Raw genomic sequence first — 15,427 nt, 5'->3', positions numbered from 1 at the left:
TGAGTTCAGGAGTTTGAAACCAGCCTGGGAAACATAGTGAGACCTTGTCTCTCTTAAAAAAAAAAAATATATATATATACATATATATATATATAGTGAAAAGCAAGCCTCCCTCCCACATCTATTATCTTGTATTTATTATCAATTTCTTGTGAATCATCACAAAGATGTTCTGCTAATATATAAACAGATGCACATATAATTATTTTTAAAATATAAATGATAACAATATTGTGGGTATATATATATATGGTGTAAAACTTTAGGTATAGCATTTTTAGATTGTCAAAGAAGCAAAAAGCAAAACCTGAATACATTTTCCCTTATAATTGAGGCCAAAAGAAATTGTAGGGTTATGTTTGGGGTAATGGGTTAAGGATGGGAAACAATGTGTGCATGTGTGTGTGTGTGTGTTTAGTTGTAGCAGGTATCTTGACTCATACAGATTGCCTGTCCATTTTAATGACATTTTTCCAGTTCTTGTGGAAATTCACATAAACAGGATATTAAAACCTAGTCCTAGTAATGTATTGAAAATTTAACAGCTACTTGGGGGCCGAGGCAGGCAGATCACCTGAGGTCAGGAGTTCAAGACCAGCCTGTCCAATATGGTGAAACCCTGTCTCCACCAAAAATACAAAAATTAGCCGGGCATGGTGGCAGGTGCCTCTAATCCCAGCTACTCGGGAGGCTGAGGCAGGAGAATCGCTTGAACCCAGGAGGCGGAGGTTGCAGTGAGCCGAGATCGCACCATTGCACTCCAACCTGGGCAACAGAAGACTCCATCTCAAAAAAAAAAAAAATGAATATTTAACAGCAAAATCATCTTATTGCTATTGGAAAGTATTTATTTGATGCAGTGGTTAGTGCAAAACTGTTGCTATTTTAGGCGCAGTGGCAAAGGAGTTGCTATAGAAGGGCTCTTATGTGGAATGATGTAAAGAGGAAGCATTCATTCTAAATTCTGAGAAGCAGAATTTAGCAAGCAGAAGCAGCGCAAGTTCTTACCTGCAGATTCTTAGGAAGTGATGCCTAGAGGCCACTGAACTCTGTTCTTGGTACATTAGGACCAGGAGATTATGCAATGCTCTGAGGCAGAATAAACAAGGTCAGAAGCAGGCATTTATTCTGCAAGAAAAGAATTTACTGTGTAGGTTCCTGAAGGATTGCCTGAATTCCTTCATGGCTGAGAGTGCAAAATAATGCACAGCTGCTGGCTGCCCTGCATAGCTGTAGGCAAGGATCCGGAAGATGCCATCTTGTCTCCAAGTGTTTCTTTTTCTTTAGGCAGGGTCTCACTCTGTCACCCAGGTGGGAGTGCATTGGTGCAATCACTGCTCACTGCAGCCTCCACCTCCCAGGCTCAAGCAATCCTCCTGTCTCATTCTTTGACTTTTTTTTTGTAGAGACGAGGTCTCACTATGTTGGTCAGGCTCGAACTCCTGGGCTCAAACAATCCTTCTGCCTCGGCCTCCCAAAGTGCTGGGATTAACAGGCGTGAGCCACTGCCCCCAGCCTTCAAGCGTTTCTTAATGGATTCCCCCTTTTCTCATTTGGTCTCTTTCCCCCCTGGTTAGTTTCATTGTAGTTCATGTTCAGGAATTAGGCTTGTGCACAGGAGCAAGCTGGTTTTGTCCAGTTGAAAGGAAAAGGGTGAGGAATGTGCTCTGCTGTGAGCTTTGCTCTGGGGGGAAAATCTAGTTTTCTTTTTCCCTTTTCCCATTTGCTTTCCAAGGTTTGGATGGCACAATCACCTTCTCAGAATGCTTCTTTTACTACTCAGGAGGAAAAGGCTGCCACTTTGGGATTGAAGGACCCCATACTGTTTCCTCTAGAAAGGTAGCTCTTTTCCACGGGAGAAGAGGTGTACAGTGGTAGGAATTGTGTCCTTAGTTAGGATTTGGGGTTTTATTTAGACATCATCATGTCCCTTAACTTGGACTTAGACACTGGATTCTGTGAAGTTCAGTTTCAGGTTGGTTCAGCAGGTAGATCTCTGATCATGGACTTTTCTGTCTTCTCTCCTTTTCTCTGCATCTATTGCTATCTTGACACCAAAGTTACTCAAACTCTGGGCTTCTAGGTACACTGGGTTTGTTCTCCTGCAGATCTGGCCAAAGTGATATTTCATGAGTGGGTCTGAGAAATGGCAACCAGTGAACAAACATTTGAAACAATTCAGACACTCACTAGGCTGTATGTTTGGGGAATTCTTTTTATTATATGTGGGTGTGGAAGCCTGAGGTCTTAGATTTTATCACAGTAAGAAGCAGCTTACCCCTCTGTTCATCAAGTCACAGACTGTCTTGGCTTCTAGCTGGGAAGTTTTTGTTGGGAAGTTTTGTAGTGTTGGGCAATGGATGAGTGAATGGAAAGAAGCGTGACTAGGGACCTACTCTTAATGGCTCGAAAATGTCCATTAACTTGTTGTATAGGGGACAGCTCATTCTATTAACTCACTTTGTTCTCAACAGAAGGTAAAATTGGGCATAACTACCAAGCTATCATGAGAACCAATCCAGGAAAACTCATTAGTCCCAAGCTGGATAGGGGCAGAGTCCACAGGTGCTTGAGAAGTTTGGGTGGTCCTATAGAGACTAGAGTATATATTTATCACCTTAGAAACTTCTTTGTCTCATGTTTGACAGTTTTTATGCTTCTGGGTCTTACAGATAATTAATATTTTGTTCTTTATTTAAGCTAGTTTGCCTTTTTTTTTTTTTTTTTTTGAGATGGAGTCTCGTTCTGTTGCCCAGGCTGGAGTGCAGTGGCGTGATCTCGGCTCACTGCAAGCTCTGCCTCCTGGGTTCACGCCATTCTCCTGCCTCAGCCTCCCGAGTAGGTGGGACTACAGGTGCCCGCCAACACACCTGGCTAATTTTTTTGTATTTTTAGTAGAGATGGGGTTTCACCGTGTTAGCCAGGATGGTCTCGATCTCCTGATCTTGTGATCCACCCGCCTCAGCCTCCCAAAGTGCTGGGATTACAGGCATGAGCCACCACGCCCGGCCCACTAGTTTGCCTTTTAAAAATTTCAGGTATTTAATTAAAGTGTGTAAGACATCAGTGGCTGCTCTGCAGGATGCTGATTTGTATCTGGAGACCCAGAACTGATGAATTGGGCCAGTGGGTTCCTGGCTGGTCTAATGTGGCATCTTCTCTTCCTTACTGTTTGAGGACATGGGGCAGGGCATGACCAGTGCCTGAGTGGCAGGTGGTGACTGAAGGGAGGGAGATGGGAACTGGGCTGTAGTCAGGGCTCTCTCGCAAGGGGCTTGACCTTTACCTATTACCTCCTGGACACCTGTGCGGAGAGGTATGAGAGAATGGGTTTTCTTGTGAAAGGAAAATTCAAATCTCTCTTTACTTGAGAGTCTAGGGACTTCAGACATCACCATCCCCCATAGCAGCTCTGATGATTTTCACATTTGAATGAAACACTTGAAATTTTTAAAAGGCCAATTAGTATAAATGAAGAACAAAATAATTAATTATAAAGACCCACAGTCTTGAAACACAGTGGCAGGCACCATCTTAGTTCTTGTGTTTCTTCTTCTGTCAAGTGAAAAAATAAACTACCATTTTTATCTTCCGCAATACTCCCATTCAATTGAGCTGCTTCTTTTTATTTTTTATCTTTTTATTTCAATCCTGCTCCTTCTGTAGTCAATTGCGCTTCTTGACTGGTCTCCTGGAGCTAATTGTCAGGACTGGGGTGGTGCCCCACCCCCTTCCTGGGATCCTAGCCTTCTCCTTCCTTTGGGTGAGATCCTATCTACTCCTTCTCAGGAGGTGGCCTCTGCTGCAGACCCATAAAACTTTAACCCTACCTTTCCTATCAGTGAGAATTAACATAACAGCTAGGGCTACTATCACAGGAGTGGAAAATAAACCATAGTAAAGAGACCTTCCAAAAGTCTGCAAGCAAAATCTAAACACATTTGAGCACCTCTCTATGGGGCGAGAGCATAGATTTTTGCTGAAGGCAGGCAGAGGGGTGGCATTTTGTGTTCTCAGAGGGAAGCGATCTGGAGTTTGATTTAGTTCAGGATTCTTCTCAGCTTCTAGCCCCGAGCTCCAGGGCTTCTATCACCTCCATGACTTTCCTGAATCTGAGTCCTTGAAGTGCATTTTTCAGAAAACTTGGGTCCTACTCTTCCCCTTCCTTTGGGTGAGATCCTATCTACTCCTTCTCAGGAGGTGGCCTCTGCTGCAGACCCATAAAACGTTAACCCCACCTTTCCTATCAGTGGGAATGAACATAACAGCTAGGGCTACTATCATAGGAGTGGAAAATAAAACCATAGTAAAGAGACCTTCCAAAAGTCTACAAGCAAAATCAAAACAACACATTTGAGCACCTCTATATGCAGCGGGAGCTAGATTTTTGCTACAGTACCTAGTGAGGGACTGTAATTTTGGCTCTTGGCACAATAGCCAAATTCCTATCCCTCTAATCCTATTGTGTCTCCTGGGGCTGGGTATGAGGAAGGAGAGTCCTGCACTGGAAGAATTACCTTAGCGGTTTCACTTACTATGAGGACTGTTGGTTTCAGTAACCCTTTTGGCTCCCATCAATGTCCATTTAGCTATTTCTAATTATTTCAACTACTATAATATTATTTTTCTCCAGGCATGCAGCCAAATAAAGTCAGCCATTGAGTTGGTTCTCTCAGCCGTGCTGCTTGTGGAACAACGTGACTGCAAGGCCATATTGCTTCCCTTTCCCATGCCAGGCCGTGTGAGTGAGAGAGCAATCAGTGCAAATCTTTGGGCTGGATAACTGGCGGTGCTGGTTTGACCTCCGGCCGGGTCACTGAGGGATTGTTGGGGAGGCTGCTGCACCCCTCTGCACAGACTTCCAACATATCCCAGAACCATAGCACCAGCTCTCTTAAGCCAGAGGATAATGTTAGTTAGTAAAGAGAATGATGCTATTGGGGTCGATTACTTCCACTAGTAGAATCTTAATGATGTGTGGGAAACCATGTCTCTGGCAAAGTGCTGGAGTTCACCTGAGCCTTTTTTTTTTTTCTGGAGACAGTGTCTCGCTCTGTTGCCCCGGTTGGAGTGCAGTGGCGTGATCTCAGCTCACTGCAATCTCCGCCTCCCTGGTTCAAGCGATTCTCCTGTGTCAGCCTCCCAAGTAGCTGGGATTACAGGCACATGCCACCAGGCCCAGCTAATTTTTGTGTTTTTAGTAGAGACAGGGTTTCACCATGTTGGCCAGGCTGGTCTTGAACTCCTTGACCTCAAGTGATCCTCCTGCCTCAGCCTCCCAAAGTGCTGGGATTACAGGTGTAAGCCACCGTGCCCCACCAACCTGAGCCTTTTTTAACTGGCCAGCTGGGCCCAAGAGTATTATCGTGTCTCCTAAAAATGACTGATACAGTTTTTTTAATTAGTTTCCTATGGCTGCCATGTAATATAGTACCACAAACTAGGTGGCTTAAAACAACAGGAACCTGTTCACTCCCAGTTCCGTAGTCAGAAATCAAGATGTTGGCAGGGTTGGCTCATTTCTGGAAGCTCTGAAGGAGAATCAGTTCCCTGCCTCTCTCCCAGGTTCCTTGGCCTGTGGATACATTGCTCCAGTCTCTGCTGCCATCATCACATGGCATTCTTCTTGCATGTGTGTCTGTGTGTCCCAATTTTGCTCTTCTTATAAGGACACCAATCATTGGATTACGGCTGACCCTAATCCAGCATGATCTCATTTTAACTTGGTTACATCAGTGGAGACCCTATTTTCAAGTAAGGTTATATTCAGAGGTACCATGGGGTTAGGATTTCAAAGCATCATTTTTGGGAACACAATTCAACTTGTAACACTCCTCTTATCCATCTCCCTCCTGGACTATAGTGCTGGCCTCTTACTGTATCTCCCTGGGCCGGGGTCTCCCCTCAGTGACCTTTCCACACCATCAGTAGAATTATCTTACTGTATTGTAAAAAGAATCATACTATCCAGCTTTATTTCCAAAGGCTAAACTCAGTTTGACAGACAGAGCCCTTCACAGACTGTTGTCATTGGAGAGCTGGACCAACGCAGAACAGGGACCTGTCCCCCCTGCACAGGATCATAATTGAAGCCGGACTCGCCTACAAGGCACTGCTAATTAATCTTTCCTCCTACTGGGCGTCTGAATCATTCTGCCCCTAAGAAGATTATTTGGGAGGTGATTGGACTTTTTGCATGATTGTTCCTAGGGATGTTGTCCTTGCCTATCTTCTCAGATGTGGGTTTATTGCATTTTTACTTATTTCCTAAACTTTCAATGGAAGAAGGCAAGATCATCTTCCATAAGGTAGTTAGATTATATTACTCATGAAACTAATAACTTCAAGACTCTCTTTCCTTACTCTACTGTGGCAAAGTACCATATCTCTCTCTTTTTTTATTTTTTTTTTTATTGATCATTCTTGGGTGTTTCTCTCAGAGGGGGATTTGGCAGGGTCATAGGACAATAGTGGAGGGAAGGTCAGCAGATAAACAAGTGAACAAAGGTCTCTGGTTTTCCTAGGCAGAGGACCCTGCGGCCTTCCGCAGTGTTTGTGTCCCTGGGTACTTGAGATTACGGAGTGGTGATGACTCTTAACGAGCATGCTGCCTTCAAGCATCTGTTTAACAAAGCACATCTTGCACCGCCCTTAATCCATTTAACCCTGAGTGGACACAGCACATGTTTCAGAGAGCACAGGGTTGGGGGTAAGGTCATAGATCAACAGGATCCCAAGGCAGAAGAATTTTTCTTAGTACAGAACAAAATGAAAAGTCTCCCATGTCTACTTCTTTCTACACAGACACAGCAACCATCCGATTTCTCAATCTTTTCCCCACCTTTCCCCCTTTTCTATTCCACAAAACCGCCATTGTCATCATGGCCCGTTCTCAATGAGCTGTTGGGCACACCTCCCAGACGGGGTGGTGGCGGGACAGAGGGGCTCCTCACTTCCCCGTAGGGGCGGCGGGGCAGAGGCGCCCCTCACCTCCCAGACAGGGCGGCTGGCCGGGCAGGGGCTGACCCCCCACCTCCCTCCCGGACGGGGTGGCTGCCGGGCGGAGACGTTCCTCACCTCCCAGACGGGGTCGCGGCCAGGCAGAGGTGCTCCTCACATCCCAGACCGGGCGGCGGGGCAGAGGCGCTCCCCACATCTCAGACGATGGGCGGCCGGGCAGAGACGCTCCTCACTTCCTAGATGGGATGGCGGCCCGGAAGAGGCGCTCCTCACTTCCTAGGTGGGATGGCGGCCGGGCAGAGACGCTCCTCACTTTCCAGACTGGGCAGCCAGGCAGAGGGGCTCCTCACATCCCAGACCATGGGCGGCCAGGCAGAGAGGCTCCTCACTTCCCAGACGGGGTGGCGGCCGGGCAGAGGCTGCCATCTCGGCACTTTGGGAGGCCAAGGCAGGCGGCTGGGAGGTGGAGGTTGTAGCGAGCCGAGATCACGCCACTGCACTCCAGCCTGGGCACCATTGAGCACTGAGTGAACGAGACTCTGTCTGCAATCCCGGCACCTCGGGAGGCCGAGGCTGGCGGATCACTCGCGGTTAGGAGCTGGAGACCAGCCCGGCCAACACAGGGAAACCCCGTCTCCACCAAAAAAATACGAAAACCAGTCAGGCGTGGCGGCGCGTGCCTGCAATCGCAGGCACTCGTCAGGCTGAGGCAGGAGAATCAGGCAGGGAGGTTGCAGTGAGCCAAGATGGCAGCAGCACAGTCCAGCTTCGGCCCGTGGAAAGAGGGAGAGGGAGACCGTGGGGAGAGGGGGAGGGGGAGGGGGACCATATCTCTTGTGAATTTATTTCCTGGGAAAGCATGTGGAGTGCGGAGTGTGTGTGTGTGTGTGTGTGTGTGTGTGTGTCTGTGTGTGTGTGGTGGAGGGTGAAAGTATTTTACTTGAGGATAAAGATTGATGCAAATAATATTCAGATAGAGTTCAATAGGGTTAAAACAATGTTAAGTGTCTTCCTTGCCAGTTTGCTGTCTTAGGTTTTGCTTTACCTACGTTTTTCTCTGATAGAGGAAAAATAAAATAATCAATTCCCAGGGTTAAGTGACTGAGTCCCCAAGAAGATCTTAAAGAAGACAGCCATTTGCCTAAGTAGTTAAATCCCAGTTAAATTTTAGTAGCATGATCTATCTCTATGCAGAGAGGTAAAGAAAGAACCAAATGATGTCATTTCTATCTAAAAAGTACCCTTCAGTGGCAGGGCGCGGTGGCTCACGCCTGTAATCCCAGCACTTTGGGAGGCTGAGGTGGGCGGATCACGAAGTCAGAAGTTCGAGACCAGCCTAGCCAATATGGTGAAACCCCATCTCTACTAAAAATACAAAAATTAGCCAGGTGTGGTGATGTGCGACTGTAGTCCCAGCTACTCAGGAGGCTGAGGCAGAAGAATCGCTTGAACCTGGGAGGTGGAGGTTGCAGTGAGCCAAGATCGAGCCACTGCACTCCAGCCTGGGTGACAGAGCAAGACTCCCTCTCAAAAAAACAAAAAAGGACCCTTCAGTATAAGAGCTGTCCATGTAGCAGCTCTCAACTTAGTCCAGTGAGTTAAAGTGTGAGATTGGATTAGTAATCCTTTAATTTAAAGTCGTGTGACCTCAGCCAAGTGACCGTCTTCAATCCTCAGTACCCTAGGCTGTGCGAAAAGCATATGGTACAATTCCTGGTGGAATAATGTTCAATAAATGTCAAATGCTATTATTATTTTGTGATTATATGAATGACCCGAGAAAGGGTCCCACCTGCATCCAAGTACATTTATACTTCTTAATAACCAAAGTGCCTTCATGAGAATGCTGGTAGAAACTGCATAAGGGTGTGTTTTTTTGCTTTTGTTTTTGTTTGAGATGGGGGTCTCACTCTGTCACTCAGGTTTGAGTGCAGCGGCGCCATCTTAGCTCACTACAATCTCTGCCTCCCAGGCTCATGTGATCCTTCCACCTCAGCCTCCCAAGAATCTGGGACCACAGGTGTGAACCACCATGCCTGGCTAATTTTTTGCCTTTTTTGGTAGAGACGGGGTTTCACCGCCTTGCCCAGGCTTGTCTTGAACTCCTGACCTCAGGTGATCCGCCCACCTCAGCCTCTCAAAGTGCTGGGATTGCAGGTGTGAGCCACTGTTCACAGCCCTGCATGAGGGTCTTTGATTACAACTGATATTTTCTATTGTTGAGTGATGGCCTTTTTATAAGTTGCCCTTTCAGTGACACAAAGGAGGAATGTGCAACTGAGTAGAACAATTTTAGAGAAAATGTAGATTATGTGTTAATTAGACTGAAGCTGTGCCTACTTCCAGAGAGTATGAGGCAGTTTAGAAGGTAAAACACAGTATTTTACTGGGAGTAAGACAGAATTTTTATTTAGCGTATATACAGCAGAAATAGAAAGGGAACAGAAAAAGCCTGGAATGAGGCAAGTGTTAAAATGGGCAGTTCTAGCAAACAGAACCGAATAAGGAACAGTCAAAACAGTGATGGGGGGGCCAACCTTGAGGAGAAATTGAGTGTTGTTTGGGGACTTTTTTTTTTTTTGAGATGTCGCATACAGTACTTAGTGTTGGTTGGATGGATGACTCTTACATTTTCCATATAGTTATTCTGTCATAAATACTCAAACAAAATGAGGGATTTAAACTGTAATTAGAGCTCTTTTCTGAGACATCTGTCTGTAACATTTCTCTTTTTCCCACAATTAGGTGAAAATGAAATCCTTGCAACTCTGCATGCCATTTCAAGCAAAAACCAGATCTGGAGATCGTATATTGGCATGGGCTATTATAACTGCTCAGTGCCACAGACGATTTTGCGGAACTTACTGGAGAACTCAGGATGGTAATGTATTTCTCAGTTCAGGAACAGGATGACTGTGATTTGCATAATTCTCTCCATCCTCCATCTGTCCCCTTGCAGTCTCAGAGCCTCCACACTGACACCCACCTCCTAGTGCTGTCTCCAATGTCCGGGAACCTACCGGGTTTCTCTGGATCGAGAAATGTTCTTGCTCAAATGTTGAGGAAATAGAAGTTTCTTCCCACTTCCAGTCCCATAAAATCTACTAGGATGCTAAATTGTGGATCTGGTCATCTCTTCCTCTTCTGCAGCTTAATTTCTGTGCTGTATTTGAGTAAGATGTGAAACCTGCAGGTGGGCAGATTCAGGCCTTTACTCCTCCTTGGAGACCCTGGGACATAGGCTACTTCTGAGCTATCTCATTGAGTCATTGGTGGAGTCTGGGAGAGAATCTTGGTCCACTGTCTTCTCTCAGGATTCCCCGCCTACCACCCTGCCCAGACGGAGTCTTGCTGTGTATCCCAGTCTGGAGTGCAGTGGTGTGATCTTGGCTCACTGCAACCTCTGCCTCCCAGGTTGAAGCAATTCTTCTGCCTCAGCCTCCCAAGTAGCTGGGATTACAGGCACCCACAACCACCCCCGGCTAATTTTTGTATTTTTAGTAGAGATGGGGTTTCACCGTGTTGGCCAGGCTGGTCTCGAACTCCTGACCTCAGGTGATCCGCCCGCTTCAGCCTCCCAAAGTGCTGGGATTACAGGCATGAGCCACTGCGCCTGGCCCTTCTGTCAGGATTTTTAAGGGGGACAGATAATTGTGTTCCCTTCCCCTCCCACCCCCAAAATTTTTGATTCACAACTGACTGACAAAAAGACATGGTGTTGGAGATCATAATATCAGCTTTATTGCTAGCACTTTCTAGAGAAAGAGAACATGTGCATTCTGTAGACAGGCTCTTCTAGAAAAGATATGAGAGAGGCCTGAGCTATGCATGCTCAGTTACTTATTCCAGTCTTACCTCAACAGTTAGATAAGTCACTCCTACTTCTTCTTTTTTTTTTTTTTTTTTTTTTTTTTTTTTGCCTGAGACAGAGTCTCACTCTGTTGCCCAGGCTGGAGTGCAGTGGGATGATCTTGGCTCACTGCAACCTCTGCCCTTCGAGTTCAAGTGATTCTCCTGCCTCAGCCTCCCGAGTAGCTGGGATTACAGGTGCCTGCCAGTGTGCCTGGGTAATTTTTTGCATTTTTAGTAGAGACGGGGTTTCACCATCTTGGCCAGGCTGGTCTTGAACTCCTGACCTCATGATCCACCCGCCTTGGCCTCCCAGAGGGCTGGGATTACAGGCGTGAGCCACCGCGCCCAGCCAAGTCACTCCTACTTCTAGGGGTGTGTGTGTGTGTTCATCTGTGTCTGTCTCCTGTCCACTCTGGTCCTCACTGATTGTGTGGTGTGTGTGTGTGTCTGTCCATCCATGTCTGTGTCTCCTGCCCACTCTGGTCCTCACTGATAGAACAACACTGAAAGCATTTCTCCTGCATTTGAGAAAATACTTCTAGTCCACTTCCATGCTATTTTGTTGTTTTCCATTGCTGTTTGCTGTATGATGTAAAGAACCAAAAAGGCCAGGCATGGTGGCTCACACCTGTAATCCCAGCACTTTGGGAGGTTGAGGCGGGTGGATCATCTGAGACTGGGAGTTTGAGACCAGCCTGACCAACATGGAAAAACCCTGTCTCTACTAAAAATACAAAATTAGCTGGGCGTGGTGGTGCATGCCTGTAATCGCAGCTAGTTGGGAGGCTGAGGCAGGAGAATTGCTTGAACCTGGGAGGTGGAGGTTGTGGTGAGCCAAGATCGCAGCATTGCACTCCAGCCTGGGCAGTTAAGGACATCTGCCTCTGCTGTTCACTGGGATATAATGTCTAACTGTGGAGGAGGAAAGGTGGGGACTCCTAGGCTCTTTTTTCCCATCTTTTTGGATTGGTGCCATTTTATACACCAGAAACACTGAGTTGAAATTTTATTTCAAATGATGAATTAGTCTTAAAAGGAAGACATCTTATTTGAAAATATAGGTGTCCACTTTTCATTTCCAGCATGGAAACAAATCAGACATAGATGGAGTATGGTGATAATTCCTAGGTGATTTTTTAAAAGTTAGTTTGTGGAAGAGGTAACTTTAATTTCTAGCAGGATCATCATGACATGAGGACAGAGTAAGTGGTTGCCTCTGCAATTCAAAGTATTCCTAGCAAGGGGCACAGATTGGCTTTTAGATTAACATATGTAAAAACCAACTTTACTTAAGGGAATGCAGGCTTCACTAAGTGGGAAATCATAAGTTGTACCAACAGGAGCTTTTGAAATACCCAAGTACATGCTCCCAATCAATGAGTGTTAACAATTTGATAAACACTTTGCATCTTTGTCTGCTTTTCCATCATTGCAAATGTAATCCTGGTGGGTGCATGTGCTTTGTCGTAGATGCAATTATTTTTATCATATCATTATAGGAGCCAGATCTCTCAGCACAATCATTCCAGTATTGCTGTCCCTGTACATAACTCTTAGTTTCAATATGCTCCACTTTATTAATAAGGGGACAGGAAAATCAAAGAACTAGTTTCTCTGTAGCGTCTGTGAATGCGTTTGCATTGATGAAGGCTTCTTTTTCATTGTGGTATTGGTAAAAATTTGAATGGTAAATTCCAAGGTTAATTTCAAAAGAAAATGGCCTGTTTCTCTTCCCCCTTAAGAAAAGCCTCAAAAGTACATGAACGGGCTGCAGCATTCCAGCCATCTGAATACTGGCCAGCAGCCTTTGCTCTTGGTGGCCATAAAGAATATTCACCATATTGCTTTCTGGCTGTGGGCGGATGTTAATTTACCGTAGGAGCAGCCAGTGTTTTGAGAAGGAGATGATGTTGTCCTGTACTTTTCATTTACTTTTCAGGTGCATTTTAAATACTATTTCTTTCTATTCTCTGAAAGCTGATCTGAACCAGAGAGTGATATTACACCCCACCAGCGCTGATAGGGAGGGCTGTGCACATGTGGGTGGTAGATTTCACATTATCATCCTTCTGAATGGTTTCCATAGAGATGGAACCAACAAATTCCGGAGACGTGAGGGGAAAATAAATGGATGACATAGCCTCGAAAGAAAACAAACATTTGGGCTCTTGAAAGAAAATTTACATCAGGTCTAGAATTTATTTTATGGGTTTCACTATTCCAAATTTTCAACTACTGATAACATCAGAACATTTACATATTCCTTGTAGCTATTTCTGTTTGGTATATTTTTGTCAGCAGGATTAAAATGAGAGAATCTCAGGAGTGTTTGTCCTGCAAACCCCCATAACCCCCTTTCCCAATTCCAAAAGAAAGTCACAGCCAAAATGATAGAGAACACTAATTATTTTGGGTTAAATATTAATGCCATGTTGAATATATCAAGCATCCTATTTGAGCTGAACTAAATGCCTTCTTGGATGTGCAGATACCTTTTTATATGTTAAAATATATTTAGGAACAAACCAGTTGAATTAGTCATTTGGAACATAGACATTATAGATGACAGGCATGTTTTCTTAATCACTATGTTTTACCTAATTGAGTCAAACTCTTGTAAACATGATGGCAGGCCTTTTGATAGTATTTTTCTCCTGAAATGAGGGTTATTTGTCATCTCTCAGATCCAAGGCTCACTGTCCTTTAATAGATCATTGTTAAGAGCATTAACACCTGTTTAATTTCAGTAGTGCCAAAAACCTCTAGACTAATACAAGAAGTTTACATGTAAAAGGAGTGAGATTACATATTTGGCATATTTGCAAGACAACAATTTTAAAGGTCTCTACCTTTAGCAATGCTAAATAACATTAACCTCACCTTGGACTTATGAAAGGATTGAGAGAGAAATATTACATAAGGGACAGAAAAGATGTAACTAATTTGAATAAATAGTTTTTAAGTGGAAATATGTAATAATATCTAAACAGAATTCTGCAGAAGTGCTTTTAGGAAAGGTCTATCAGCATATGCTTTAAAAACTTTTTTAAAGATGAAAACGAAAAAAACTCCAACTTTTCAAGAGCCAATGGGTCATTGAAAATACTGATCCTAAGCCAGGCATGGTGGCTTGTGCCTGTGGTCCCAGCTCCTTGGGAGGCTGAGGCAGGAAGATCATGTGAGTCCAGAAGTTTGAGGCTGTAGTGCCCAATCATCGCACAGGTGAACAGCCACTGCACTCCAGCCTGGGTAGCATAGCACAAGCCTGTATACAAACAACAGAAAAGAAAATCCTGATTAGGCCAGGTGCGGTGGCTCACGCCTGTATCCCAGCACTTTGGGAGGCCGAGGTGGGCAGATCACTTGAGGTCAGGTGTTCAAGACCAGCCTGGCCAACATGGCAAAACCCTATCTCTACAAAAAATACAAAAAAAATTAGCCAGGCCTAGTGATAGGCACCTGTAATCTCAGATATTTGGGAGGCTGAAGCAGGAGAATCACTTGAACCCAGGAAGAGGAGACTGCAGTGAGTGGAGATTGCACCACTGCACTCCAGCCTGGGTGACAGTTAGACTCCGTTTCAATAAAAAAGAAAATACTGGTTATATACTAGGTCTTTTTTTTTTTTTTTAAGACAAGGTCTCCGTCTGTCACCTGGACTAGCGTACAGTGGTGCTCTAATAGCTCACTGTAAACTGGAACTCCTTGGCTCACGTAATCCTCCTGCCTCAGCCTCCTGAGTAGGTGGGACTTACAGGCCCCTCGCCAGGCTAATTTTTTTTTTTTTTTAAATTTTTAGTAGAGACAAGGTTTCTCTGTGTTGCCCAGGCTGATCTTGAACTACTTGCCCCAAGAGATTTTCCTCCCAAAGTGCTGACAGGTGTGAGCCACCACACCTGGCCTGTATACTGAGTCTTAAAACATACACAGACACATATAGACAGAAAGCTAGGGATTTTAAAAGTTTTTGAATGTCTTATGAATTCAAAATAACTTACAGATGCTAATTTACAGTTGCTATTATTCACTTGAATAACCTTTGGACAGTACATTAGTCTGATTTGAGCATTAAGAAAAATCTCTCATATAGGTGATGTTATTTCCATTGAGAGGCAAGAGATATTGGCTAGAGCGACGTTTAGTTATTTATCCCAGTTCACAAGTACACTCATGCCCTGCGTAGTGATATTTTGGTCAGTGACAGATTGTGTATATGACAGTGGTCTCATAAAATTGTAATTCTGTATTTTTACTGTACCTTTTCTGTATTTAGAAACACAAATACTTAACCATTGTTGTACAATTGCCTATAGTATTCAGTACAGTAACATGCTCTACATGTTGGTAGCCTGGGAGTGATAGGCTATATCACGTAGCCTAGGTGTGTAGTAGGCTATACCTTCTAAGTACACGTAAGTACACTCTATGAGGTTCACACAACAATGACTAAATCACCTAACGATGTATTTCTCAGAGCATATTTCTGTTAAGCCATGCATGACTGTAGAAAATTAATAAGATTAAGGCTTGGCACAGTGGCTCACTCCTGTTATCCCAGCAATTTGTGAAGCTGAGGTGGAAGGATCACTTGAGCCCAGGAATTTGAGACCAGCCT

General features: G+C 44.7%; 1 protein-coding gene across 1 annotated transcript in view, besides 1 other annotated feature; it reads left to right on the top strand.

Moving 5' to 3' along the window:
- Positions 1-15,427, top strand: part of GLDC (glycine decarboxylase) — a 113,263-nt gene that overhangs the window by 15,705 nt on the left and 82,131 nt on the right. The window contains exon 3 of the mRNA NM_000170.3: positions 9,706-9,841. Within this exon, the coding sequence (NP_000161.2) occupies positions 9,706-9,841 (136 nt within the window). The remainder of the gene's footprint in view (positions 1-9,705; positions 9,842-15,427) is intronic.
- Positions 6,322-7,117: an enhancer, noted in NCBI's record as "NANOG-H3K27ac-H3K4me1 hESC enhancer chr9:6622908-6623703 (GRCh37/hg19 assembly coordinates)". NCBI's record gives its function as "activates a minimal SCP1, AML or CMV promoter by ChIP-STARR-seq in primed H9 embryonic stem cells {active_cell/tissue: H9 hESC(primed)}" and the evidence as "EXISTENCE:reporter gene assay evidence [ECO:0000049][PMID:30033119]".

Source organism: Homo sapiens, chromosome 9 (genome assembly GCF_000001405.40).
Source record: "Homo sapiens chromosome 9, GRCh38.p14 Primary Assembly".
In the NCBI taxonomy this organism is placed as follows: Eukaryota; Metazoa; Chordata; class Mammalia; order Primates; family Hominidae; genus Homo; species Homo sapiens.
Note: the sequence above shows the minus strand (reverse complement) of the source record. Positions and strands in the feature narration are given on the sequence as shown.